Source organism: Homo sapiens, chromosome 7 (assembly GCF_000001405.40).
Source record: "Homo sapiens chromosome 7, GRCh38.p14 Primary Assembly".
NCBI classification, from domain to species: Eukaryota; Metazoa; Chordata; class Mammalia; order Primates; family Hominidae; genus Homo; species Homo sapiens.
In genome coordinates this window covers 158135602-158157875 of record NC_000007.14, presented here as the reverse complement: position 1 = coordinate 158157875, position 22274 = coordinate 158135602, and the positions used below count along the sequence as shown (strand labels likewise).

Here is a 22274-nt window from a genome sequence, read left to right as displayed (position 1 = left end):
AGTCCCGGGCTCAGTGTGCACTGCCTGAGGCCTTTCTTCCTGTGTGTCAGCACACCGTGGAGTCAGCAGCAGCGCACTCTCTCCCAGGGGAGCAGGCGCAGGAGAGGGCACCCGGGGTGCTGGGGGGGTCACTCTGTGGCTTATATAGCGGGAACAGGGTTCGTCTCACTGCACCTTGAGGACACACCCACCTGCTCAGCAACCCTGACGTGGATGCGCCCAGTGCGGGGTGGCAGCGGCCGTGTGTGGCTGGCAGCCTCGGACCTGCGTGTGGCTGGCAGTCCCGGACCTGCACTGCTCGGCTCCACCCAGCTCATGTCTTCTCCCAGGGGGAGGAGGCTCCCCGACTTCTGCACTAGTGCAGAGTCACTGCTTTCAGATTTGGGAGAAGTAAGAGTCATAAACTGCCCCCATGTGAGAAATCTCTTCCCCGGTGTTTGGCTGATGTCCTTACAGACTCTGCTTAAACACCTCTGAGGTCACTGCTTTCCTGCCAGGTCCATGCTGCTGTAAGCCAGCTGCATTTGCTGGAAAGATTTTTACTTTGAGAATTGGGTTGAAATTTGCCTCTGTCTGACTAGGAATTGGCAGGGCACCTAAAGGCACCTCACTGTCACTGCCCAACCCCTGAGGTTTTCCTCCCACCACCTTCTGCCATGGCTCCAAGGGGGAGGCCTTCCAGAGCCACATGGAACAGGGGTGCTCTCTGCTGTGTTAGCACAATGGGGAGGCCTTCCAGAGCCACATGGAACAGGCGTGCTGTCCGCTGTGTAAGCACAATGGGGAGGCCTTCCAGAGCTACATGGAACGGGGGTGCTGTCCGCTGTGTAAGCACAATGGGTAGGCCTTTCAGAGCCACATGGAACAGGGGTGCTCTCCACTGTGTTAGCACAATGGGGAGGCCTTCCAGAGCCACATGGTACAGGGGTGCTGTCCGCTGTGTTAGCACAATGGGGAGGCCTTCCAGAGCCACATGGAACAGGGGTGCTCTCCGCTGTATAAGCATCCTCTGCATATGATGTCATCCTTCCTGTCACTTTTCCAAATCTCCCCAGTTCCAACCTGAACGCTGGTGGTTAATGGAGACCGCTGATTACATGGTGATGCTTCCGCTCTGAGGGCACAGGGCAGGTGTAGGGAAGGCACTGGGGGAGCCTTTCCCCTTCCCACGGGTGAGTGCGTCACAGGCTGGAACTGGGGGCTCGAAGCCCCAGGGCGTTCTATGCAGCAGTTGGTTTGCTTTGGGTCTGATCATGCCGAGCGTCTGACTGCAGCTGTGTGTTCACCTGCCCTCTCCACCGGCATTTCTAGAACTTTTCGAGGTAACTGTTCCCATTACGAGGGCGTTTCTGCAGATGTCGGCTTAGCTCATTTAGCGAATGTGGGCAGCTCCGAAGTCCCAACCCTCTGACATCTGTAAAACATTTTCTCTTCTGGTCTTACCTGCCACCCAGTCCACGGTGAGCTGCGTTACCTGTCGTCCGTCAGTTCACGTTCTGAGTGTGCAAACTCACACTAACATGAACCTAAAGGAAGCAGTCTTTAGAAAGCCATTTGACTGCCAATCCCCACACCCCACTGAAGTCATGTCATTAATGCCAGAGCTAATTGGATATATTTTTTTCTTCTTTGCCTCAGTATTGCATTCAATAGAGAAAGTGTCAGACTGGGTGAATGCTGAGCCCTGTGAGTGCAAAATATTGCGGCATGACAGTGCAGGAGAAGCTTCATCCCAGGCTGCAGCATGGGCACTTTTCATTAGTCAGGGAGAGATGCACACTACTCAGCTGTGATTCCTTACCCCCTCATATTGGAAGCAGAATATATTTTACTACACTTGTGTTGTTTCCAGTGAAAATAGACAACATGCTGGCATATGATTATGTCAGTTTCTCCCTGTGGAAGCCCAAATGAGGAGAGAATGCGATAATGAGCTCCTACTGAATTTACCTGAATCCTCTGCAAATACCCAAGTTTTGGACCCCAGCAATTAAATGGGCTGTATGTCCTCTAAACCAAAGGAGCACAGTCCATTCCCCATGATGGTGGGTGATGGTGATGATGGTGGTGATGATGATGGTGTTGATGATGGTAATGATAGTGTTGATGGTGATGATGATGGTGATGGTGATGATGGTGATGATGGTGATGGTGATGATGGTGTTGACGGTGATGATAGTGCTGATGGTGATGGTGATGATGGCACTGGTGATGGTGATGATGGCAATGATGACGGTGGTGATGATGGTGATGATAGTGTTGATGGTGATGGTGATGATGATGGTGATGATGGTGATGGTGATGATGGCAATGATGATGATGGTGTTGATGGTGATGATAGTGCTGATGGTGATGGTGATGATGGCATTGGTGATGATGGTGATGGTGATGATGATGGTGATGGTGATGATGATGGTGATGATGGTGTTGGTGATGGTGGTGCTACTGATGGTGATGATGGGTGTTCAGATGTGGCTAACTGTGTACCTTCATATATACATGGTTGTAAAGGCACTTAGGAGCAAAAGCTGTTGTGCATGATTCCCATTGTCTTTGTGAAAACAATGTTGTGGCGAGGTTATCTGCAGGCTGTTGCTGATTGTTTAAAGCTTGTACCATTTTGTTTGGAAGGCCCTACAATGACATATAATTTCAATAGGCCTGGCTGTGGCAGTTGAGAATGCAGAGTCATGTGAGCTGATCTCTTACTCCAGGCTTTACACATTTAATATCCTGACATTTTGTGTAATTGCCTTATGAGAGCCCAGTTGGAGCACTGAAAGCTACTTAAAATGTCATTATGAACTGGCCAGATTGCAGAATTACGTGGTGCAGTTGATGGAACACAACGTTTTACTTTGATATTCTTGTTATCTGTGCTCTGTGCTGCCGCCCTTCTTCAACCCACCAGGGCTCACTGGATGCTGCAAAACATACTTCCTCATTTCTCTTCATCTTCAAATGGCAGGTAGTGGATGCTTCTGAGATAACTCAGCATGTTCATAAAATGCTGTGTGTGTGGTTTGTAGAGGTTACATGGGAGGGGATCCCTAGTATGCATTAACTGTTCTCCCATAAGCTGCCCAGCAACTTAGAATTTTCTCTTATATACTTATGATTTTTTTTAAAGTTATTTTTCATTAATGATAACCTAAAAAGTTTCTTTTTCAGATGAGGGGAAGTAGTTTTTGGAATTGTACTTTATTATTCCATTTTGAAGGTGGATGTTTCCTATTATAGTGATTCTAAGAGGCCCACTGAAAATGCCTCCTGTTCTCTGATCTTTACCATAAAGAACATGAAGTTTTATTTCAGGGCAGTTGTATTTCTGCTCTCCCATCCATTTAACAAGACTCGAACCAAAGGGAGTCAAAGGAAAAGGGATGCGTAGCAGCCATAAGAGAGAGTTTTTCTGAGTTGTTAAATGTTACAGCGGTGTTAGAAGAGGGGACACAACTTCCTGTCAACAAATACTGAGCATTAGCAGGTAGTAGACAACACACTTACTATATTTCATTTTCTCAGCAACCCATTCGAGTGGGAGTTATTGATTCAGTTTCACACAGAGGGCTCATGAGGCTGGAAGAGGCTGGATGGGTTTCCCCGAGTCCCAACTGTGGTGAATGGTGGGGTGGAGTTTGAGCCCGGTTTGGCTGACTCCGGAGAACACCTGTCTCTGCGTTACGCTGCCTTTTCTGGAAGGCAGTGAATCTTTTAGGGTTTCTGCCCTGACATTCCCTGCCTGTGACCAGCAGGACTCTCATCCCACCTGCACTGGCACAAGACCAAACATGGCAGTGTGGGTGCCTGCCGGGCTCCTGAGGGCCTCCCAGCCCAGCCCGGACCCCACACCTTGAACGAACCCTCCCATGGTTCCTACAGCATGGCTGTGGGGCCACTATCCATTTAGGTCCTTTTCTTTCTGTCCCCCCATGTCCAGTCTGTTGGCAGACCCTGCTGTACCTGCCTTCCGAGCGAGCACACCCAGGGTGCCCCCTCCTCCCCACCAGCCGGCTGCTCTCTGTCCCCCCGACCACCACCCCTAACCAGATCTGACCAGACCTGGCCTCCTGCCTCTGACCTTGTCTCAGGCCTGCAGAGTGGTTCTTGTAAATTTGTCAATCAGATGATATCCCACTGCTCAGAGCACACCACGGGCTTCTCATCACACTCAGTAAAAATCAAAGCTGTTTGCCTGGTCTGCAAGACCCTGCATATCTGTGGCACCCCCACCCACCACTCCTCTCCCTCCGTGTCCTGTTGAAACGGGAAAAGTTCCCTTATTCCCCTCACAGGGCGTGCGATGGGGGAGTGGCTCGCTTCTTCAGTGCCCCGCTGCTCAAACCTCTAGGGGAGCTGACAGACGGGTGGGCTGTGGGCTCAGACCCCATGGCAGTGTCTAGGGGTGAATGTTTACAGCTCCTAAAGCCCCAGTGGGCATGTGTTACAGGGTGCTCTTTTGGTTTCGCTCCTTTAATTTTGCCGTCTATAGGTGGCTTGTGTTAGTCAGCTCAATCAGACCCCTTCCTTATCACAAGGACAGAGGGCTTTCTGAATGCTGGGTTCTTGCCTTAGTGTACTGGAAGAATCAGATCATATGTGGGCTTGGAGAGTAAGTGCAAGGTTGTTTTGAGTAGAAGTAGCTCTCAGCAGATGGGGGAGCCAGAAGGGAGATGATTTTCCCCTGGAGTCCGAATGCTTGATGGCCTGGGCTCTCCTCAGACTGCCCCGGCCACACTCGGCATCGTTCCGCTGGTCGATGGTATGCTGGTGTCTGTCGGTCTGCTCTTGTCCCCCCAGTCGGTGGCCTGCTGGCGTGCTGGTGTCTGTCGGTCTGCTCTTGTCCCCCCAGTCGGTGGCCTGCTGGCATGCTGGTGTCTGTCGGTCTGCTCTTGTCCCACTGGTTGGTGGCCTGCTGGCGTGCTGGTGTCTGTCAGTCTGCTCTTATCCCATCAGTCGGTGGCCTGCTGGCGTGCTGGTGTCTGTTGGTCTGCTCTTGTCCCACTGGTTGGTGGCCTGCTGGCGTGCTGGTGTCTGTCGGTCTGCTCTTGTCCCACCAGTCGGTGGCCTGCTGGCATGCTGGTGTCTGTTGGTCTGCTCTTTTGCCAACGTGCTCCTCTTGACATCCAGCCACTTGTGTGTGTGCCTGCCAGGGTCTTGGGGGTTTTTATAGGCACAGGATGGGAGTGTGGTAGGGGCCAGGGTGGTCTTGGGAAATGCAGCATTTGGTGGTGAAGGCAGGAGTGCCTGTCCTCACCTAGGTCTGTGGAGATGGAGCCCCAGCCAGGGACCTGCCTTCCTCAACCCAGCACTTCCCTTCACACTTCTATATCATTTAAAGGGACCAGCTCTCCCCTTCCCAGCACTCCCATATCACTGTGAACTCTCCACGTGGGGCTGCATTCTGGACACTTTGGCCTCCTGTCTGTTCTTCCAACCCAACACGCCAGGCAGCTTCTGCCCACGGCCTTAGTGCTCACTGCTACTCCTGCCTGAAGACAGCTTCCCAGGCCCCACTAGGCCCATGCTCACCTCCCTCAGGCCTCTGCTGAAACTTCACCTTCTCAATGAGGCTTTCTCTGGCAGTGCGGTATGAAAGAGCAGTGCTCCAGCCCCCGATCCTTCATACTCTGGGTTATTTCTTCGCAGCATCAATCACCACCACATATTCTGTGCATTCATGGTTTTTTTTTTTTTTTTTTGAGACAGAGTCTCACTCTTTCACCCAGGCTGGAGTGCAGTGGCGTGATCTCGGCTCACTGCAAGCTCCGCCTCCCGGGTTCACACCATTCTCCTGCCTCAGCCTCCTGAGTAGCTGGGACTACAGGCGTCTGCCACCACGCCCGGCTAATTTTTTTGTATTTTTAGTAGAGACGGGGTTTCACCATGTTAGCCAGGATGGTCTTGATCTCCTGACCTTGTGATCCACCCGCCTCGGCCTCCCAAAGTGCTGGGATTACAGGCGTGAGCCACCGCGCCCGGCCGCATTCATGGTTTTTATTTGTTTCCTGTTCCTTCTAACATAGATGGAAGTCACACAAAAGCAAGGACTTTGCTCATGGATTTATCTCTGCGCCTTCAAAGGTAGCTGGTGCAAAGGAGATGTGCAGTAAATATTTGTGGCAGGAAGGAAGGAAAGAATGCAGCTAGCAAGGGAGGGAGGGAGGAAGATTGGGGAGAAGGAAGAAAGAAGGGAAAGGAAACAAGAGGGAAGAAGGAGGGGGCGGGGGAGTATTTCACCTCCTGAAGCTCTCATCTGTCCCTGAAGGGGAGGGCGTGGCTCATACCACCCACCACCACCACCCCACCACAGGCAGAGTAAGAGGCTGCCTGCAGATCGCCTGGAGTAGGACGTGCGGTGAGGAGCAGAAAGGCGGGCGGTGTGGGCAGGGAGAGGCAGGAATAGAAAGGCGGGTGGTGTGGGCAGGGAGAGGCAGGAATAGAAAGGCGGGCGGTGTGGGCAGGGAGAGGCAGGAATAGAAAGGCGGGCGGTGTGGGCAGGGAGAGGCAGGAGCAGAAAGGCGGGCGGTGTGGGCAGGGAGAGGCAGGAATAGAAGGTGGGCGGTGTGGGCAGGGAGAGGCAGGAGCAGAAAGGCGGGCGGTGTGGGCAGGGAGAGGCAGGAATAGAAAGGTGAGCAGTGTGGGCAGGGAGAGGCAGGAATAGAAGGTGGGTGGTGTGGGCAGGGAGAGGCAGGAGCAGAAAGGCGGGCGGTGTGGGCAGGGAGAGGCAGGAATAGAAAGGCGGGCGGTGTGGGCAGGGGTAGGAGCAGAAAGGCGGGCGGTTTGGGCAGGCAGGGGCAAGAGTGGAAAGGCGGGCAGTGTGGGCAGGCAGGGGCAGGACAGTGACAGGGCCTGGCTTCCCGCATAGGAGGCAGCATGAGGTGCTGAGAGGAACAGACATTGCTGTAAGCAGGGTGGGATGCACAGAATAATATTTCCCAGCTTCTCGGTGTTGTGTGGGGCCCATTTGCTGCAAACCAGTAGGATAATTCCACCAGCACGTTGGGTTGGAAGAACAGAAAGGAGGCCAGAGTGGCTGGGGTGCAACCATCATGGGAGAGTTCACAGGACACGGAGGGAGAGGAGTGCTGGGTCGCGGTGCTGCAGATACGCAGCGTCTCACAGACCAGGAAAGAAGAGAGCTTTGCAGATCACCATGATCACCCACATTCTTCCCTCTGCATGACAGATCTCACCTCAGTGACCCCCCTGGGTTATGTTCACAAGGGTGGAATTAGAGGGGCAGGAGATGACACCGAGATCTTAAGGAGAAAAGGTCTTTCCATATAGATGCTCCTTGACCTTCTAGAAATGCCCACTTGTTTCTGGGCTCCAGGAGCTGGTGAATACTGGGACTCACCTGGGTTAGCTTTGCAGTGAAGGTCAGTGCAGGGGACACAGGAACATCCGCCTGCTGCGTCAGTGCCAGGTCAGGGCGGCAGAGCTGCCACTTTTCGAGCTGCTGAGGGTGGACATCTCAGCCCTGCATGTGGAGGGCGGAGACTGGGGTACACCCTTGGTGAGCCCAGGTACTCAGAAATGGAACATGCTTGTCAGCTGAATGTTCTGGTTACGTTAGCCTTTAGCAGAAACAGCCTGGATTCAACTTGTTTAAAAATCTCTCATGAATACATCCATCTATTTTTCTGCCTTGGCCAGTGTTCCTGAAGCATGAAGGTGGGTCTCACACACACTGCCCCGCTTGAGGCAACAGGAGCCTGCAGGGAACAGCATTGTTGCCGGCCAAGCTTCAGAGCTCAGCAGAACACCCACGGCAGCCTTCTGCCCCACGGCCTCTTCCCTCAGATGACTCTGTTTTCTTATCATTCATGCCCTTGATGCCACACTACGCCACCTAAATCTGATGTGTCTGTAATGAGGCTTAACAAACAGCAAAGAATTGTGTTGCTTACTTTCTATTTTTATTTTTCATATGTTTTATTTATTTTATATTAAATTTAAAATATATTCTTGCCACTTTTTGTTCAGCATAACTTAGATCCCAAAAATTCCACAGTAATTTTTTTGTTTTTTCAAGAGACATCACTTGGGTTTATCTTTTTTTTTTTTTTGAGATGGACTCTTGCTCTGTCACTCAGGCTGGAGTGCAATGGCACAATCTCAGCTCACCGCAACCTCCGTCTCCCATGTTCAAGCAATTCTCCTGCCTTAGCCTCCTGAGTAGCTGGGACTACAGGCATGCGCCACCACGCCTGGGTCATTTTTGTATTTTTAGTAGAGATGGGGTTTCCACCATGTTGGCCAGGCTGGTCTCGAACTCCTGACCTCAGGTGATCCACCCACCTCGGACCCCAAAGTGCTGGGATTACAGGCATGAGCCACTGCGCCCAGCCGGGCTTATCTTTTTAAAAATCAGTGAGTTAATTGGATTGCCTTTGTTAGAGATTAAAAATAAGGATTTTTTTTTTTTTTTACCTCTTGAGAAAAGGTAACATCTTATACATTTTATGTTTTAAGAGTTTATACTGAAAAGACACTGGTTAGATTTAAGTTTATGTCAATGTAGTTGTTAATTTCCAGGGGTTAAATATAGGCAGTGATTTACACATTGATGACATTGCTTTATAAAAGTTTGGAGGTCTTTTGGTTGGAAATTGGGTTCCCTGTACTATAATTGGTGCCAGCTTGGAGAGCAGGTCAGCCCAGACACTCGTGCACTTGAGGAGGAAAGACGTGTGGCGTGAGATGGGGTGTCACTGAGGGGGAAAGACACGTGGCGTGAGATGGGGTGTCATTGAGGGGGAAAGACGTGTGGCGTGAGATGGGGTGTCAGTGAGGGGGAATGACACGTGGCATGAGATGGGGTGTCAGTGAGAGGGAAAGACACGTGGCGTGAGATGGGATGTCATTGAGGGGGAAAGATGTGTGGCGTGAGATGGGGTGTCATTGAAGGGGAAAGACACGTGGCGTGAGATGGGGTGTCATTGAGGGGGAAAGACACGTGGCGTGAGATGGGGTGTCATTGAGGGGGAAAGACACGTGGCGTGAGATGGGGTGTCCTTGAGGGGGAAAGACACGTGGCGTGAGATGGGGTGTCATTGAGGGGGAAAGACACGTGGCGTGAGATGGGGTGTCATTGAGGGGGAAAGACACGTGGCGTGAGATGGGGTGTCATTGAAGGGGAAAGACACGTGGCGTGAGATGGGGTGTCATTGAGGGGGAAAGGCATGTGGCGTGAGATGGGGTGTCATTGAGGGGGAAAGACACGTGGCGTGAGATGGGGTGTCAGTGAGGGGGAAAGACACGTGGCGTGAGATGGGGTGTCAGTGAGGGGGAAAGACATGTGGCGTGAGATGGGGTGTCAGTGAGGGGGAAAGACCTGTGGCGTGAGATGGGGTGTCAGTGAGGGGGAAAGACACGTGGCGTGAGATGGGGTGTCATTGAGGGGGAAAGACGTGTGGCATGAGATGGGGTGTCATTGAAGGGGAAAGACACGTGGCGTGAGATGGGGTGTCATTGAGGGGGAAAGACACGTGGCGTGAGATGGGGTGTCAGTGAGGGGGAAAGACACGTGGCGTGAGATGGGGTGTCATTGAGGGGGAAAGACACGTGGCGTGAGATGGGGTGTCATTGAGGGGGAAAGACACGTGGCGTGAGATGGGGTGTCATTGAGGGGGAAAGACACGTGGCGTGAGATGGGGTGTCATTGAGGGGGAAAGACACGTGGCGTGAGATGGGGTGTCATTGAGGGGGAAAGACACGTGGCGTGAGATGGGGTGTCATTGAGGGGGAAAGACACGTGGCGTGACATGGGGTGTCATTGAGGGGGAAAGACACGTGGCGTGAGATGGGGTGTCATTGAGGGGGAAAGACACGTGGCGTGAGATGGGGTGTCATTGAGGGGGAAAGACACGTGGCGTGAGATGGTGTGTCATTGAGGGGGAAAGACACCTGGCGTGAGATGGGGTGTCATTGAGGGGGAAAGACACGTGGCGTGAGATGGGGTGTCAGTGAGGGGGAAAGACACGTGGCGTGAGATGGGGTGTCATTGAAGGGGAAAGACACGTGGCGTGAGATGGGGTGTCATTGAGGGGGAAAGACGTGTGGCGTGAAATGGGGTGTCAGTGAGGGGGAATAACACGTGGCGTGAGGTGGGGTGTCATTGAGGGGGAAAGACACGTGGCGTGAGATGGGGTGTCAGTGAGGGGGAAAGACGTGTGGCGTGAGATGGGGTGTCAGTGAGGGGGAAAGACACGTGGCATGAGATGGGGTGTCATTGAGGGGGAAAGACACGTGGCGTGAGATGGGGTGTCATTGAGGGGGAAAGACACGTGGCGTGAGATGGGGTGTCAGTGAGGGGGAATGACACGTGGCGTGAGATGGGGTGTCAGTGAGGGGGAAAGACCTGTGGCGTGAGATGGGGTGTCAGTGAGGGGGAAAGACACGTGGTGTGAGATGGGGTGTCATTGAGGGGGAAAGACGTGTGGCATGAGATGGGGTGTCATTGAAGGGGAAAGACACGTGGCGTGAGATGGGGTGTCATTGAGGGGGAAAGATACGTGGCGTGAGATGGGGTGTCGGTGAGGGGGAAAGACACGTGGCATGAGATGGGGTGTCATTGAAGGGGAAAGACACGTGGCGTGAGATGGGGTGTCATTGAAGGGGAAAGACACGTGGCGTGAGATGGGGTGTCATTGAGGGGGAAAGACACGTGGCGTGAGATGGGGTGTCATTGAGGGGGAAAGACACGTGGCGTGAGATGGGGTGTCATTGAGGGGGAAAGACACGTGGCGTGAGATGGGGTGTCATTGAGGGGGAAAGACACGTGGCGTGAGATGGGGTGTCATTGAGGGGGAAAGACACGTGGCGTGAGATGGGGTGTCATTGAGGGGGAAAGACACGTGGCGTGAGATGGGGTGTCATTGAGGGGGAAAGACACGTGGCGTGAGATGGGGTGTCATTGAGGGGGAAAGACACGTGGCGTGAGATGGGGTGTCATTCAGTCTCTTCACAGGATCTTAATGGTGTATTTTCCCTGTAAACTGTTTGCTTGTTCTATCCATTGGTCAAGTCTCTCTGGCCTCCAAAACATTTTAGTGTGTCTGTGCTGGTGTGAGAACAATGTTGTAGCCCTCAAGAAAATGAAGCTTTTAATTTTCTATTGTTTCTTTTTTCTTTCTTTTTTTTTTTTTTTGAGGCAGAGTCTCGCTCTGTCGCCCAGGCTGGAGTGCAGTGGCGCGATCTCAGCTCACTACTAGCTCCGCCTCCTGGGTTCACACCATTCTTCTGCCTCAGGCTCCTGAGTAGCTGGGACTACAGGCGCCCGCCACCACGCCTGGCTAATTTTTTGTATTTTTAGTAGAGATGGGGTTTCACCATGTTAGTCAGGATGGTCTTGATCTCCTGACCTCGTGATCCGCATGCCTCAGCGTCCCAAAGTGCTGGGATTACAGGTGTGAGCCACCAAGCCCAGCCTATTATTTCTTAGAATAATGTTTGTTCCCAGGCTTTGATCACAATAGATGCCCAATACAGGTTGGTGCAATCAATGGGTAGGTTAGTGGGTGGAGGGATGGACGGAGACTGGGCTTTGACTTTAATGAGAGGTTCATATTTTTTTAAATATAGGTTAACATTTTGGTTAATATTTTGGCAGAAAATAGTTTCAAAATGCATAATCTTGAATTAGATCTTGAGCAAGTTGGAAGGTGCCTGTCAGCTTGTGTGACTGAGCATCTAAGGGGCTCTCTGACTGTGTTCCTCACTTCTCACCTGAGGATCACAATGAGCTGTGGCGAGAGCTTCTCATGGAGAACCAAGTATTTGTTTTCAGAATGGATGGGAAAGGGGGAAAAGAGTGGAAAACTAAAATGATTTCTCATCCTCTCCTTGTTTCATGATAATAGTTATAATTTATTAAGCACTTACAGTATGCTGGGCCCATGCCTCACTTGTCACCATTTTACAGATATGGAAACTGAGGCATGAAGAAATGAGCGAGCTTGCCCCAAACCACAGACCATGAGCGCTGGGGCCAAGACTCCGGGAGCATGGTCAGCCTTTCTTCATGGGAGTCCAGCCTGGCATCCCCCAGGGCAGGGCAGCACAAGGATGGATGATCGGATTGATGGGAACTTTAAATGTGTCTAAGGTCCTAGCTGCAATGATGGAAAAAGAAATGTGAGCTAACACCCTACAGATTCTAGAATAATCAGGCCTGAGAAAGTGTGCAGGCAGCTGCAGCCACGGCAGGGGAGCCCCTGTTGGTTCAGTACTGGCAGCTCCACGCCAAGCCTGGCCGCGTCTGGCCAGGGTGCTCTGGCTTTCCCGCCGTGCCTGATGGCCTTTCTGCTCACGTTGCCATTTCTTCCTCCCTTCCTGGTCCACCATGGAGCCTCAGTTTCTCAAGGGTGGATGCCTGCCAGTTCCCCAAACTCTACATTCCCAGCTGCTCTCTGTCGATACAAGTAGGCTGTTCATATGGTTGAGTGTGGCGCTCACTGTACCACGCTGTACCGGGCACTGCCGCCCCTTCTCACGATGATGTGAGGGAAGTCTTGCCAAGCCGTGGTATTCTGGAACCTTCTCACCGTGATGTGAGGGAAACCTTGCCAAGCTGTGGTATTCTGGAACCTTCTCGCGATGATGTGAGGGAAGTCTTGCCAAGCCGTGGTATTCTGGAACCTTCTCACCGTGATGTGAGGGAAACCTTGCCGAGCTGTGGTATTCTGGAACCTTCTCACGATGATGTGAGGGAAGTCTTGCCGAGCCGTGGTATTCTGGAACCTTCTCGCGATGATGTGAGGGAAACCTTGCCGAGCCGTGGTATTCTGGAACCTTCTCGCGATGATGTGAGGGAAACCTTGCCGAGCCGTGGTATTCTGGAACCTTCTCGCGATGATGTGAGGGAAGTCTTGCCGAGCCGTGGTATTCTGGAACCTTCTTGCGATGATGTGAGGGAAGTCTTGCCGAGCCGTGGCATTCTGGAGACGTGGCTTGCTGTTCAGTTCCTCCTTCAGAGCAGGCACTTGGCCTCTGTGTGGGTTTGAGAGGGGAATAAGCATCATTTTGCAAAGTTCAGGGTGGGTCGACACACCTGTCTTTGTGTTAAGCAGGACTCATCAGTGTTGACAGTGACGGTGTTTGCTGTTAGAAACACAGACCGCAGCCTCTTCCCTCGGGGTGGTGGGAGAAGCGCCAGCCTGCCCTGGAGGGAGAGGGTGAGCGCTCCACCCCGGGATGCCTGCTGATGTCCCCCTTCTCCTTCCCCTTCCCCTTCCCCTTCTCTCGCTCTATCGCCCAGGCTGGAGTGCAGTGGCACAATCTTAGCTCACTGCAACCTCCACCCCCAAGGTTCAAGCAATTCTCCTGGTTTAGTCTCCTGCATAGCTGGGATTACAGGCGCCTGACACCATGCCCAGCTAATTTTTGGTATTTTTAGTAGAGATGGAGTTTCACTATATTGCTCAGGCTGGTCTCCAACTCCTAGGCTCAAGAAATCCGCCCACCTTGGCCTCCCAAAGTGCTGGGATTACGGGTGTGAGCCACCGCGTCCGGCTGATGTCTGCTTTCTCTTTCTTTTGGCATTTTCCTGCTGGCAACACTGTAGCCACTCTGAATTGAATACCCTGGCCTGTGCACATCATTTTTATAAACCTTGGGGGGCTCAGAAAAGTTTATTTGTGGATCAGTATGGCAAAACATGATTCATTTTCACTGGAAATGCCGAATTCGAGAACATTTAACCTTCTTTATTGAGAAGTCACATGATTTTTATTCTCTCACCATTTGTCAAAATATCACAACCAGCTTTTCAGCCCCCTTAGGAAACACAGGGCCTTGCAGAAGAACGGTTAATGGAACTCTGTCCCAAACTTGTCCCCGCACGGACCACGTCACCTTCTCTGGAGCTGCAGTGGGGTCGTCTGGGCAGGTGGTGGCCCGGGGCTGCAGTCCTGGGGAGCTCCGGCTGCGGGGGGGACGGTGGCCACTCTGCTGCCTGGGAGCTCAGGAAGGCGGTGTCTACAGATGCAGGTGGAGGCTCCCAGGCCTTGTGGTGCCTGCTGTGCCAAGCTAGTGTGTGGAGAGTCCTTTTGTCCTTTTGGGAGGGCAGAAGGGATCTTTGGACTTGGAAGTGAATTGTTCTACCACACTTGGAGGCCCTGCCACTTCCTGCGAATCGTGACATCAGAAATAATGGACTTTGCCCCAGACGAGGCCTCTGGTCAGGTCGTTACTCTGGGGCCCTCCTGCCCCACTCACCTGATGAGGAGGCCGCTGGGCAGCCGAGCCTGTGTTCATTGGTTCGTGTCCACAGGAAGGACCTTTCCTTAGCAACCACCACTCATTCCTCACCTCCCTGTTTCTTTCCCTCCGATGAAATTCCATCACGGGGACTGGTGTCCACCGTGAGCTATGGCCGGGCCGACTCTGACACACATCTTGGCTAGTGCAGGCATGTGTGGAGACATCCCTCGCCTCCTAAGCACGGAGGACGCCGACTGCTGGGGACAGCCATGCCCAATGCCGAGGGCCCTTCAGGTCTCCCTGCAGCTGTGCCGGTTCCTGCCGCAGGCTCCGGTGCCTCCTGCCAGTTCTCTGGGGCTGTTAGTTTTCTGGGCTCCGCCTGGTGGAGCCCGGGACCCTTCAGAACTCAGGCTCTTGCCTGTGGCCGCCTACTTTTCCAGACACAGCTCTTCCTCCCGATCCCTGCACTTCCTTATTTCCATTTTCTTTGGGATGAGTGAGCCCTTTGTTGCCAGCATTGGACCTGTGGACGTGGACGAGCGAGATAAGACTGTCGCGATGATAATCGCTGGGAAAGAAAAAGATCTGTGGTGGGAGGAGACTGCAGTGAATGAGAATGAAAAGGTTGCTCTGGGCTCGTGGCTCGGTGGCTCGGTTGCGAGGCTGAGATGGCTCTTCTGATTCTGAAAGCTGCAATGAGCAGCACATTTTCAAAACAGCACCGAGGGCTGTGGTATACACGCACCTTTAATTCCGGAGCACATCTTTTATCTTCTCTGTGAAACAACGTGAGCCTGTCAGCGTGGAAGGAGCTGGGGCATGGGTGCCGTTGACCTGGGACTGTCCAGCCCTTCAGCCCTTTGTCACCTGCAGACAGGAGTAGCGGTGAAGGCAGGCTTTGCTGCGGTTTTAGGCATGTTTTTGTTTGTGAGAAAGTGAGATGTATTTTCCTGAGTTTGTTGCTGGAAGCTTTCTTTGAAGGTAGCATTCCATCAGTGAATGCATGGTGAGGGCTGATGTGTGGGGGTTGGTGGGCCCTGGGGGTGTGGCGAAGGGAGGCTGGCCCTCCCCTCCAAGGCTCAAGGCTAATGAAAAAACAGAAGAGTACGCGGCCTCCATGCCAATCCCTGCGTTTCCCTTCTTCTGTTTTAAACGGCAGGTTTCATTATGATTTAGGACGGCAAGCCCGAGAGATCTGGGTACAGCTGCTGTTGAAACAACAGTTTGTTACTTACAGATTTTGAGAGGAGGGGGCAGGCCACGCCATGGGTCGATACAGGGATGCGCCAGCGTCAGTCCGGAGGCTGGGCGAGGGCAAGGCAGGGTCGTCAGGGACAGGACTGCCCAGCTTGAATAGTTCCAGCCGCTCCGGGGCCAGGGGCTGCCCGTGTCTGGTCCTTGCCCCAGGGTGACTAGGGCAGCGGCCTGGAGTCTGAGCCCACAGAGGCGGAGGCGGGCGTGGGCTCCGGATCGCAGGGTTTGCATGTGGAAAGCCTGCGTGGAGTGGGTGACTGTTCACTATCTGGGAATTGGCTGTTCGTGGGAGGGGCAGCCCCCAGGGTCAGCAGGGCCCCAGATGTCAGAGCATCAGAAATGTGGGGTTAATACGGACACTTCAACCCGAAGGTAAAGAAGCCGCCACTGTCTGCCGAACAATTCAGAGGCCTCAACGTCGGCCAGAGCGGGGCACTCGGCCACCCCAGCAGGGGACATCGGTGGCAGTGAACGCCCAGCACGCTCCGATCAGAACGCCCGTGTCCGTCACACATTTCGTGTACAGATTGACTTTAAAGGACTCTGTCCGCTTCATCCCATGCTAAACTACACATAATGCTGTCTCAGAAATGCCTGTCATGGACGTTCAGGCCTTTACATCAGAGGGTCTTAGTCATCAACAGCAAGTCTGGAGTGGCGCTGACAGGACTCAGGTTTTCAAAGGGGAAAATCAGAGGGTCATGGCTGTGACCCTTTCCATGCGAGACCCTGGTGGGGGATGGGGTGCAGCAGAGAGTGTTCAGAAATGAAGCAAAACACTTCAAAAAATGTGTCCTTACAGCCGTGTAGCAAGACGCCCCCTGAAGAACCAGCTTCAATTAATGGGCAAGAGAGACTGCACTTAAAAAATTTTCACTCAAAGAACCCACCACAGGCCATCGGCACTTGTGTTTGGAAAGTCATGCGAGTCTAGGCGGCCCCAGACACTGACTCCTGTCCTGCGTATGCAGTGAACGGGGCACGTGGGGACCGGGTGCCGGCCCCGCTGCCTCGGCATGGACTAGACACAGCCTGCGCTGTGGAGAGAGGACGGGACGTGCGGCTGAGTGAACGGGGGTGCCACAGGCAGTGCCACTGTCGAGCCCTGTGCAGACACTGCAGGCTGCAGCCCAGGCCTGGTGATGCATTTGACGCAGACAAAAAACCTAAAATGCCTACATTTCTTAATTTGTAAAAAGCAGAAATAATTCCTCCGCTTCTATTGTAGAGGATTGTGCCGAGATCCCTCTAGGGCAGAGGGTCGCAGTGGGATCCCTCTAGGGCAGAAGGTTGCGGCGGGACCTGTCTAGGGTGGAGGGTCGTGGTGAGACCCCTCTAGCGTGGAGGGTGGCAGCGGGACCCCCCTACAGTGGAGGGTCGTGGTGAGACCCCACTGAGGTCAGGACATTCTGTGTCCCCTCTGCGTCACTCTGCCGGTGTCGTTCGGGAAGGTAGAGACGTGGCCATGAGCTATTTTACATAAACCTTTATGAGGACAGAGATTTCAACACTGAATACAAAAGAAAGTCAGGTTTTCCTTCAAAGCTCGGAAATGGGCCCATGAACCTTCTTTAGGGCAGAGTCTTTATTGCTGCTGTTGAGGGGGAGTATACACACGGCGAGATGCGCAGACCGCAGGTGGACACGATGACGCGTTGGACGCATGTGGGCCTGGAACCAGCGGCCACGCTGCACGGCACACCCTCACACCCGACGCTTCCTCCTGCCCCAGCCCCACCTGCAGGTGATGCGGCTCTGGTTGCCCTGGGCAGACCTCGCCCATCCTTGAACTTCATCTTCTGTTAACAGGATTCTGTGGATTCTCTGGTGACCGGCTTCTCTCACTCAGCCTGACTGGTTCTAGGTCTGTCCCCCTTCTCGTCTCTGTGGTTCCTTCTGGCTCAGTGCTGGTGTGGATGTGGCCTCCTTATCCGCTCTCCTGCTGCCGGGCACATGGACTTTAGACTCTGTCTGTGGAACTATGAGGAGTCAGGCTGCTACCCACAGTCTCATTTAACTCTCATGGTTACGGGTTTCACTTCTCTCGGGTAAATACTTACGAGTCCAATTTCTGGGTAATACGGAAGATGTCCTTTTGGAAAAGACTTTCCTTTCTCTGTTGAAACGCCCTGGCGCCTTTGAAACAGTCTCCTCGGAGTTGTCACTGTGCCACTTCCTGGACGCGGTGAGGAGGCTTCAGCTCCCTCTAGCCTCTTGTGCCATCCAGTTCATGCCTGCAGCTGTTTTATGAACCCTACCTTAAAGTGGTAATAATTTTTCCTTGCTAACAATCAGTTGTTTTTTAGATAAAGTAAGAGGAGAAAAGAAGACGGTCTTTCTTGTTTATGTAACCACATATTTACCCTTTCAGGAGCTTTTTGGCTCCTCCCGCAGCTCTGGGCTTCTGTGTGGTGGTGTTTCTCTTCAGCCTGTGTGCAGGCCCACAGGGACCCACTGGCTCAGCTTTGTTCACATACGTGATATGAAAATGTCTCTCCTTTACCCTCTCGTTTGAAGGATATTGTCATTGGATATAAACTCCTGGATTGAATGATTTTTCTTTCAACCCTTCAAATGTGGCATTCATTATCTGTAACGTCAAATGCCTGACTCTGCACATTGTATGAAATACGTTGTTCTTACAGGACATGCAGGGTGTCTGGCGGCCTCTGCGCTCCTGGGACCCTTTCCATTCTCATGTGTGGAGCGTGTCTTCCCCCCGCCCCGCCCCCGCTGCTTTCCAGGAATCTTCTCCATCTCTGACTTGCAGTAGCTCAGCTGAAGTCATGGCGTGGTTCTCCTTGCATTTTATTATCGTGGAACTTAGTGACTGTCTTGAGTCCCTGAGTGACAATCCTTCCCAGATTTGAGAGACTTGTGGGCTTTCTTTCAGGTGTTTCTGGTTCCTTTCCCACCCCCCCGTGCCCTCCTGACTCCGACGGCTTGGATGCCCCAGGGGTGACTGAGGTTCTGCAGAACGTCTCCCATTCTGTTCTTCCAACGATGATCGCTTCTATGATCTGTCTTCAGATTCACAAACCGTTTCTTCCGTTATGTCCACCCGTAATGGACATAAATTTTAAATTTCAGACGCCGTGCTCTTCACTTACAGAATGTGTGTTGGATTCTGTTTTAATTTCCCCACTCTGCTGAGCAGCGGGTGCACACATCTCTCCGCGGTTATGGCAGCTCCACAAATGGCCTTGTCTCCTCGCTCTAATCATCGACTGCCCTATTCTCAATTTCGGGTTCTGTTTTTCTGCCTCCTCCTGCATCTGTTGCTGCTTGTGTGAAGTGGGGGCCTAGACCCTGCCACCTTCCTTTAAGGGGCTTTTCCGGCAGCAGTTACTTTCTTGGACGAGGCTTTGACCCTGTGTGGCTGTGTTTAGATGTAATTAGAGTTGGTCCATGCTGGGCAGGGTGTGCTGGGCAGGGTGTGCTGGGCAGGGTGTGCTGGGCAGGGTGTCCTGGGCAGGGCGCTGTCCTTGCCAGGCATTGTTTCTCCTTCTGCCAAGTGAGGGGGACACAGCTCATCCCATTCTTTTATCCTCTGGAGGACATGGTGAAGTTGCCTAGCCCATCTCTCTTCCTGGCTTGGTCATTCCAGTGTTTTCTGGAAGCTGTGCTTTCCATCCTCCTGAGCGCGTGGATGAGTCTGTCCTTCCATTCTGTGGGTTTTCCACCTCTGGGGAACTGAACTAGTGATGGTTACAGGGTCAGGTGGATTTGAGATTCAAGTCCAATATCCCAATCTTCTCTGAGCACTGGCCTGCGCCTGGCCCTAGGTGGCCACTGCCTTGGGACGCCGCAGACGCCCACCACACCCCTATGGTCTGGAGGCCCTCACCTTTGCATTCGTCCACCCACAACGTCCTTGTGTTTGTGTGTGTGCCCCTAGGAGCACGGATTCATACCCTCCTGAAGGACCTGCAGAGGCAGCCGGCTGAGGTGAGGGGCCTGAGTGGCCTGGAGCTGGACGGCATGGCTGAGCTGATGGCTGGCCTGATGCAAGGCGTGGACCATGGAGTAGCTCGAGGCAGCCCTGGGAGAGCGGCCCTGGGAGAGTCTGGAGAACAGGCGGATGGCCCCAAGGCCACCCTCCGTGGAGACAGCTTTCCAGGTGACTGCAGCGCCATGGGTGCCCACACCCAGGGGTGCTGCGGGGAGGGGAGGCCTCAGGGCTGTGCAGAGACTGCTGGCTCACCAAGTGCAATGTGGGCTTTCTGCTGGGGAGATGGGGATCTGTATTAATGATTTTTATCTGTTTGAACTTTTGCCTCTAAAAGCTTTCTTAACAGACTAAGCCTACCAGAGCAATTATGTTGAATGGCAAATTGCTCTCTGCGAGGAGGTTTCACTCCTCCATGCTGAGGCTGAGTCAGGAAAACAGGCGTGATGGGAAGTGTTGTGTTTGGACTGTGTACCGGTGAATATTGTCAAATATTTGAATAGCAGAGTGAGAGGGGATCATTCAAATGTCTGCTTGGGGCGTGCATTGGTCCTCTGAGGCTGCTGGGGAAGCAGAAGGCAGCCCCTCAGCACCACTACCCCGGCAGGCATCCGGAGCCCTGTGGAGGCCCCATGGGTCAGCCAGGACTTCTGCAGCCTGATGGCTTCTCACAGCGTGGAGCTGCAAGAAAGCACCTAGCTCAGCTCCCCACACATGGCAGCCCCACAAGTACGTGCTGAAAACCAAATGACAGACGTGCCCCTCTCTCTGCACGGGTGCAGAGGGGGCCTTGCTGGAAGCTGGAAGCCTGACTTGGCTGACAGGCAGGGTGCAGGGGAGTAGTGGAACTGCACCCCGGGAGGGCCTGTGTTAGGTGGTCGCCCAGTGGTTGAAGGAATCGGGACCCGCACCATGGCTAGGAGGGATGCAGGAGGCCCTGGTGTGCGTGCTGTCTCCAGGGGCACTGTTCAGGTGCCATGAGTCACGCACCTTTGGGCACTGAAAGTAGGATATTAATTAATTTATTTATTATTTTATTTTATTTTTTGAGATGGAGTCTCTCTCTGTCACCCAGGCTGGAGTGCGGTGACGTGATCTCGGCTCACTGCAAACTTTGCCTGCCGGGTTCAAGTGATTCTCATGCCTCAGCCTCCCAAGTAGCTGGGATTACAGGTGTGCACTACCACGCCCAGCTAATTTTTTGTATTTTTAGTAGAGACGGGGTTTCGCCTGTTGGCCAGGCTGATCTCCAACTCCTGACCTCATGATCCGCCCACCTTGGCCTCCCAAAGTGCTGGGATTACAGGCGTGAGCCACCGCGCCCAGCCGGGGTACCTATTTAGAGAGAAACGCTGACCACAGTGAAATAACCTAAGTCAGTGGATTCTGAAGCCATCTTAATTGTGAGGTGGTTTTGGCGAAGGCTTCACTTTGCTTTTTCATGACGTGAACTGCTCGGTACGATGGGGTTTTTTTTTGCCGTGAGTTAACTTTGTCGATCACGTGAGACCCCCAGAGCTGGGTGAGGTCATTGTGGCTGCCTTCACGTCTACCATTTAGCTCCTCAGTCCCCTCCGCTCTCGCGAAGTTTACAGAATGCCATTTTGTGCTATAAACAGAAAAGGTTTACTCTATGGCAGGACTTAGGCCAGCGTCATCACACCTCACCTTTCGTATGGAGGGGTCTGCAGGGTCACCCTTTTTATGTCTGTGGCACCCTGTGATGACATTCTTGATGAGGGTCTTGGTAACACTGGTGTCTTTTACAGATGACGGAGTGCAGGACGACGATGATAGACTTTACCAAGAGGTAAGATGACGTCTCTGGTGTTTGTTTCATGTTAAATGTGGAAGTTGGTGATCTTTTTGTTCATGGTGTGGGAACATTTATGAAATACAAAAGTTTTTTTCCCAGAAAATTATGGAGAAACCCCTCATAATCTCCAAATTGAAAAACAGTATAAAGAGAACATACAAAAGTGTGTATATTTGGATACGAAATATCTCTTTTCAAATTATAACCTAATTTATCCATGGTAGAAATATGAAAGTCGTGGTAAATGCAAAGAAGAAAATTAATTTTTCCTGGAATTTCCCAGCCAGGATTATCACACGGCAGCCTGTGCCCACTTTGCACATTTGATGCCTCCTGCATGTGCGGATTCCTGAGGGGTTCAGCTCACTCACACCTGGCTGTCCCGTGTGGCACCTCTGGCCACATGTGGCCATCTAAACCTATATTTAAATTGAATAAAATTAAATAAATGAAAGATGCAGTGCCTTGGCCGCACTGGGTTCAGGTCGGCGGCACGTTAGTCGCATGTGGCTCAGGGCCAAGGCGCTGGATGCCACAGGAAGAGGACGGTCCACCATCCCAGAGCCCCCGTGGGCACTGCTGCTCCGGAGGCAGTCAGAAGAAGGGCCCAGTCGCAGGCGATGTCCACGAGCTAGACACTGGCCTTCCCTGTTAAGTCTTTTAGCCTCTTAGTTTCTCTCCCTTTAAGAACCTTTGGTCGTGAATACAAGGCCGAAGGATGAAGAACCGTTCTAAGCAACAGCAGTGACATTGCATGGTTCTGGGAAACCCAGTTTTGGGGGTGGAGAAAGAAGAGTCTTTGGTTAGTCATTCTCTCCTCAGATTCTCTTACTGGTTAGTGGTTCCATGCCTGTTGGCAAGTGCAGGAAGAAAACATCAGCAGTTCTGGTTTTGAATATCCATCAGAAATGATGGGACCTGCTGTCTGAGCTGTGGAGGGAGAAGTGGGGCTGAGAAACACATTTCCTAATTTAGGGAGTCGGGGAGACCCAGCCCTCCCACCTGAGGGGCAGGGAGCGCTCTGGGGGGCTGCCGTTAGCCTAAGAC

The 22274-nt window shown here is 52.7% G+C and overlaps 1 protein-coding gene across 14 annotated transcripts in view, besides 17 other annotated features; it reads left to right on the top strand.

Annotated features, from left to right (window-relative positions):
• Positions 1-22274, top strand: part of PTPRN2 (protein tyrosine phosphatase receptor type N2) — a 1048768-nt gene that overhangs the window by 429948 nt on the left and 596546 nt on the right. For all 14 annotated transcript variants that reach the window (XM_047420678.1, NM_130842.4, XM_047420679.1 and 11 more), the window contains 2 exons: positions 19361-19582; positions 21181-21221. In XM_047420678.1, coding sequence (XP_047276634.1) covers positions 19361-19582; positions 21181-21221 — 263 coding nt within the window. The remainder of the gene's footprint in view (positions 1-19360; positions 19583-21180; positions 21222-22274) is intronic.
• Positions 6301-7813: a meiotic recombination region, noted in NCBI's record as "meiotic double-strand break mapped by DNA meiotic recombinase 1 chromatin immunoprecipitation followed by single-stranded DNA enrichment and sequencing in the germ cells of some male individuals with the PRDM9 A/A and PRDM9 A/C genotypes". NCBI's record gives the evidence for it as "EXISTENCE:chromatin immunoprecipitation-seq evidence [ECO:0000229][PMID:25395542]".
• Positions 6332-7102: a repeat instability region, noted in NCBI's record as "repeat instability region; PstI fragment from PMID:8755922, which displays instability of the D7S22 repeat region". NCBI's record gives the evidence for it as "EXISTENCE:restriction fragment detection evidence [ECO:0001124][PMID:8755922]".
• Positions 6368-6840: a minisatellite, noted in NCBI's record as "D7S22 (g3) VNTR, 37 nucleotide repeat".
• Positions 6383-6395: a nucleotide motif, noted in NCBI's record as "nucleotide motif; similarity, but not exact identity (7/8 nucleotides) to the predicted 13-mer PRDM9 A binding motif (LD hotspot motif), CCNCCNTNNCCNC". NCBI's record gives the evidence for it as "COORDINATES:motif similarity evidence [ECO:0000028][PMID:19165926]".
• Positions 6420-6432: a nucleotide motif, noted in NCBI's record as "nucleotide motif; similarity, but not exact identity (7/8 nucleotides) to the predicted 13-mer PRDM9 A binding motif (LD hotspot motif), CCNCCNTNNCCNC". NCBI's record gives the evidence for it as "COORDINATES:motif similarity evidence [ECO:0000028][PMID:19165926]".
• Positions 6457-6469: a nucleotide motif, noted in NCBI's record as "nucleotide motif; similarity, but not exact identity (7/8 nucleotides) to the predicted 13-mer PRDM9 A binding motif (LD hotspot motif), CCNCCNTNNCCNC". NCBI's record gives the evidence for it as "COORDINATES:motif similarity evidence [ECO:0000028][PMID:19165926]".
• Positions 6494-6506: a nucleotide motif, noted in NCBI's record as "nucleotide motif; similarity, but not exact identity (7/8 nucleotides) to the predicted 13-mer PRDM9 A binding motif (LD hotspot motif), CCNCCNTNNCCNC". NCBI's record gives the evidence for it as "COORDINATES:motif similarity evidence [ECO:0000028][PMID:19165926]".
• Positions 6531-6543: a nucleotide motif, noted in NCBI's record as "nucleotide motif; similarity, but not exact identity (7/8 nucleotides) to the predicted 13-mer PRDM9 A binding motif (LD hotspot motif), CCNCCNTNNCCNC". NCBI's record gives the evidence for it as "COORDINATES:motif similarity evidence [ECO:0000028][PMID:19165926]".
• Positions 6567-6579: a nucleotide motif, noted in NCBI's record as "nucleotide motif; similarity, but not exact identity (7/8 nucleotides) to the predicted 13-mer PRDM9 A binding motif (LD hotspot motif), CCNCCNTNNCCNC". NCBI's record gives the evidence for it as "COORDINATES:motif similarity evidence [ECO:0000028][PMID:19165926]".
• Positions 6604-6616: a nucleotide motif, noted in NCBI's record as "nucleotide motif; similarity, but not exact identity (7/8 nucleotides) to the predicted 13-mer PRDM9 A binding motif (LD hotspot motif), CCNCCNTNNCCNC". NCBI's record gives the evidence for it as "COORDINATES:motif similarity evidence [ECO:0000028][PMID:19165926]".
• Positions 6641-6653: a nucleotide motif, noted in NCBI's record as "nucleotide motif; similarity, but not exact identity (7/8 nucleotides) to the predicted 13-mer PRDM9 A binding motif (LD hotspot motif), CCNCCNTNNCCNC". NCBI's record gives the evidence for it as "COORDINATES:motif similarity evidence [ECO:0000028][PMID:19165926]".
• Positions 6677-6689: a nucleotide motif, noted in NCBI's record as "nucleotide motif; similarity, but not exact identity (7/8 nucleotides) to the predicted 13-mer PRDM9 A binding motif (LD hotspot motif), CCNCCNTNNCCNC". NCBI's record gives the evidence for it as "COORDINATES:motif similarity evidence [ECO:0000028][PMID:19165926]".
• Positions 6714-6726: a nucleotide motif, noted in NCBI's record as "nucleotide motif; similarity, but not exact identity (7/8 nucleotides) to the predicted 13-mer PRDM9 A binding motif (LD hotspot motif), CCNCCNTNNCCNC". NCBI's record gives the evidence for it as "COORDINATES:motif similarity evidence [ECO:0000028][PMID:19165926]".
• Positions 8838-9387: an enhancer, noted in NCBI's record as "H3K27ac hESC enhancer chr7:157941181-157941730 (GRCh37/hg19 assembly coordinates)". NCBI's record gives its function as "activates a minimal SCP1, AML or CMV promoter by ChIP-STARR-seq in primed H9 embryonic stem cells {active_cell/tissue: H9 hESC(primed)}" and the evidence as "EXISTENCE:reporter gene assay evidence [ECO:0000049][PMID:30033119]".
• Positions 9388-9939: an enhancer, noted in NCBI's record as "OCT4-H3K27ac hESC enhancer chr7:157940629-157941180 (GRCh37/hg19 assembly coordinates)". NCBI's record gives its function as "activates a minimal SCP1, AML or CMV promoter by ChIP-STARR-seq in primed H9 embryonic stem cells {active_cell/tissue: H9 hESC(primed)}" and the evidence as "EXISTENCE:reporter gene assay evidence [ECO:0000049][PMID:30033119]".
• Positions 14270-15191: an enhancer, noted in NCBI's record as "H3K27ac-H3K4me1 hESC enhancer chr7:157935377-157936298 (GRCh37/hg19 assembly coordinates)". NCBI's record gives its function as "activates a minimal SCP1, AML or CMV promoter by ChIP-STARR-seq in primed H9 embryonic stem cells {active_cell/tissue: H9 hESC(primed)}" and the evidence as "EXISTENCE:reporter gene assay evidence [ECO:0000049][PMID:30033119]".
• Positions 19796-20678: an enhancer, noted in NCBI's record as "H3K4me1 hESC enhancer chr7:157929890-157930772 (GRCh37/hg19 assembly coordinates)". NCBI's record gives its function as "activates a minimal SCP1, AML or CMV promoter by ChIP-STARR-seq in naive and primed H9 embryonic stem cells {active_cell/tissue: H9 hESC(naive and primed)}" and the evidence as "EXISTENCE:reporter gene assay evidence [ECO:0000049][PMID:30033119]".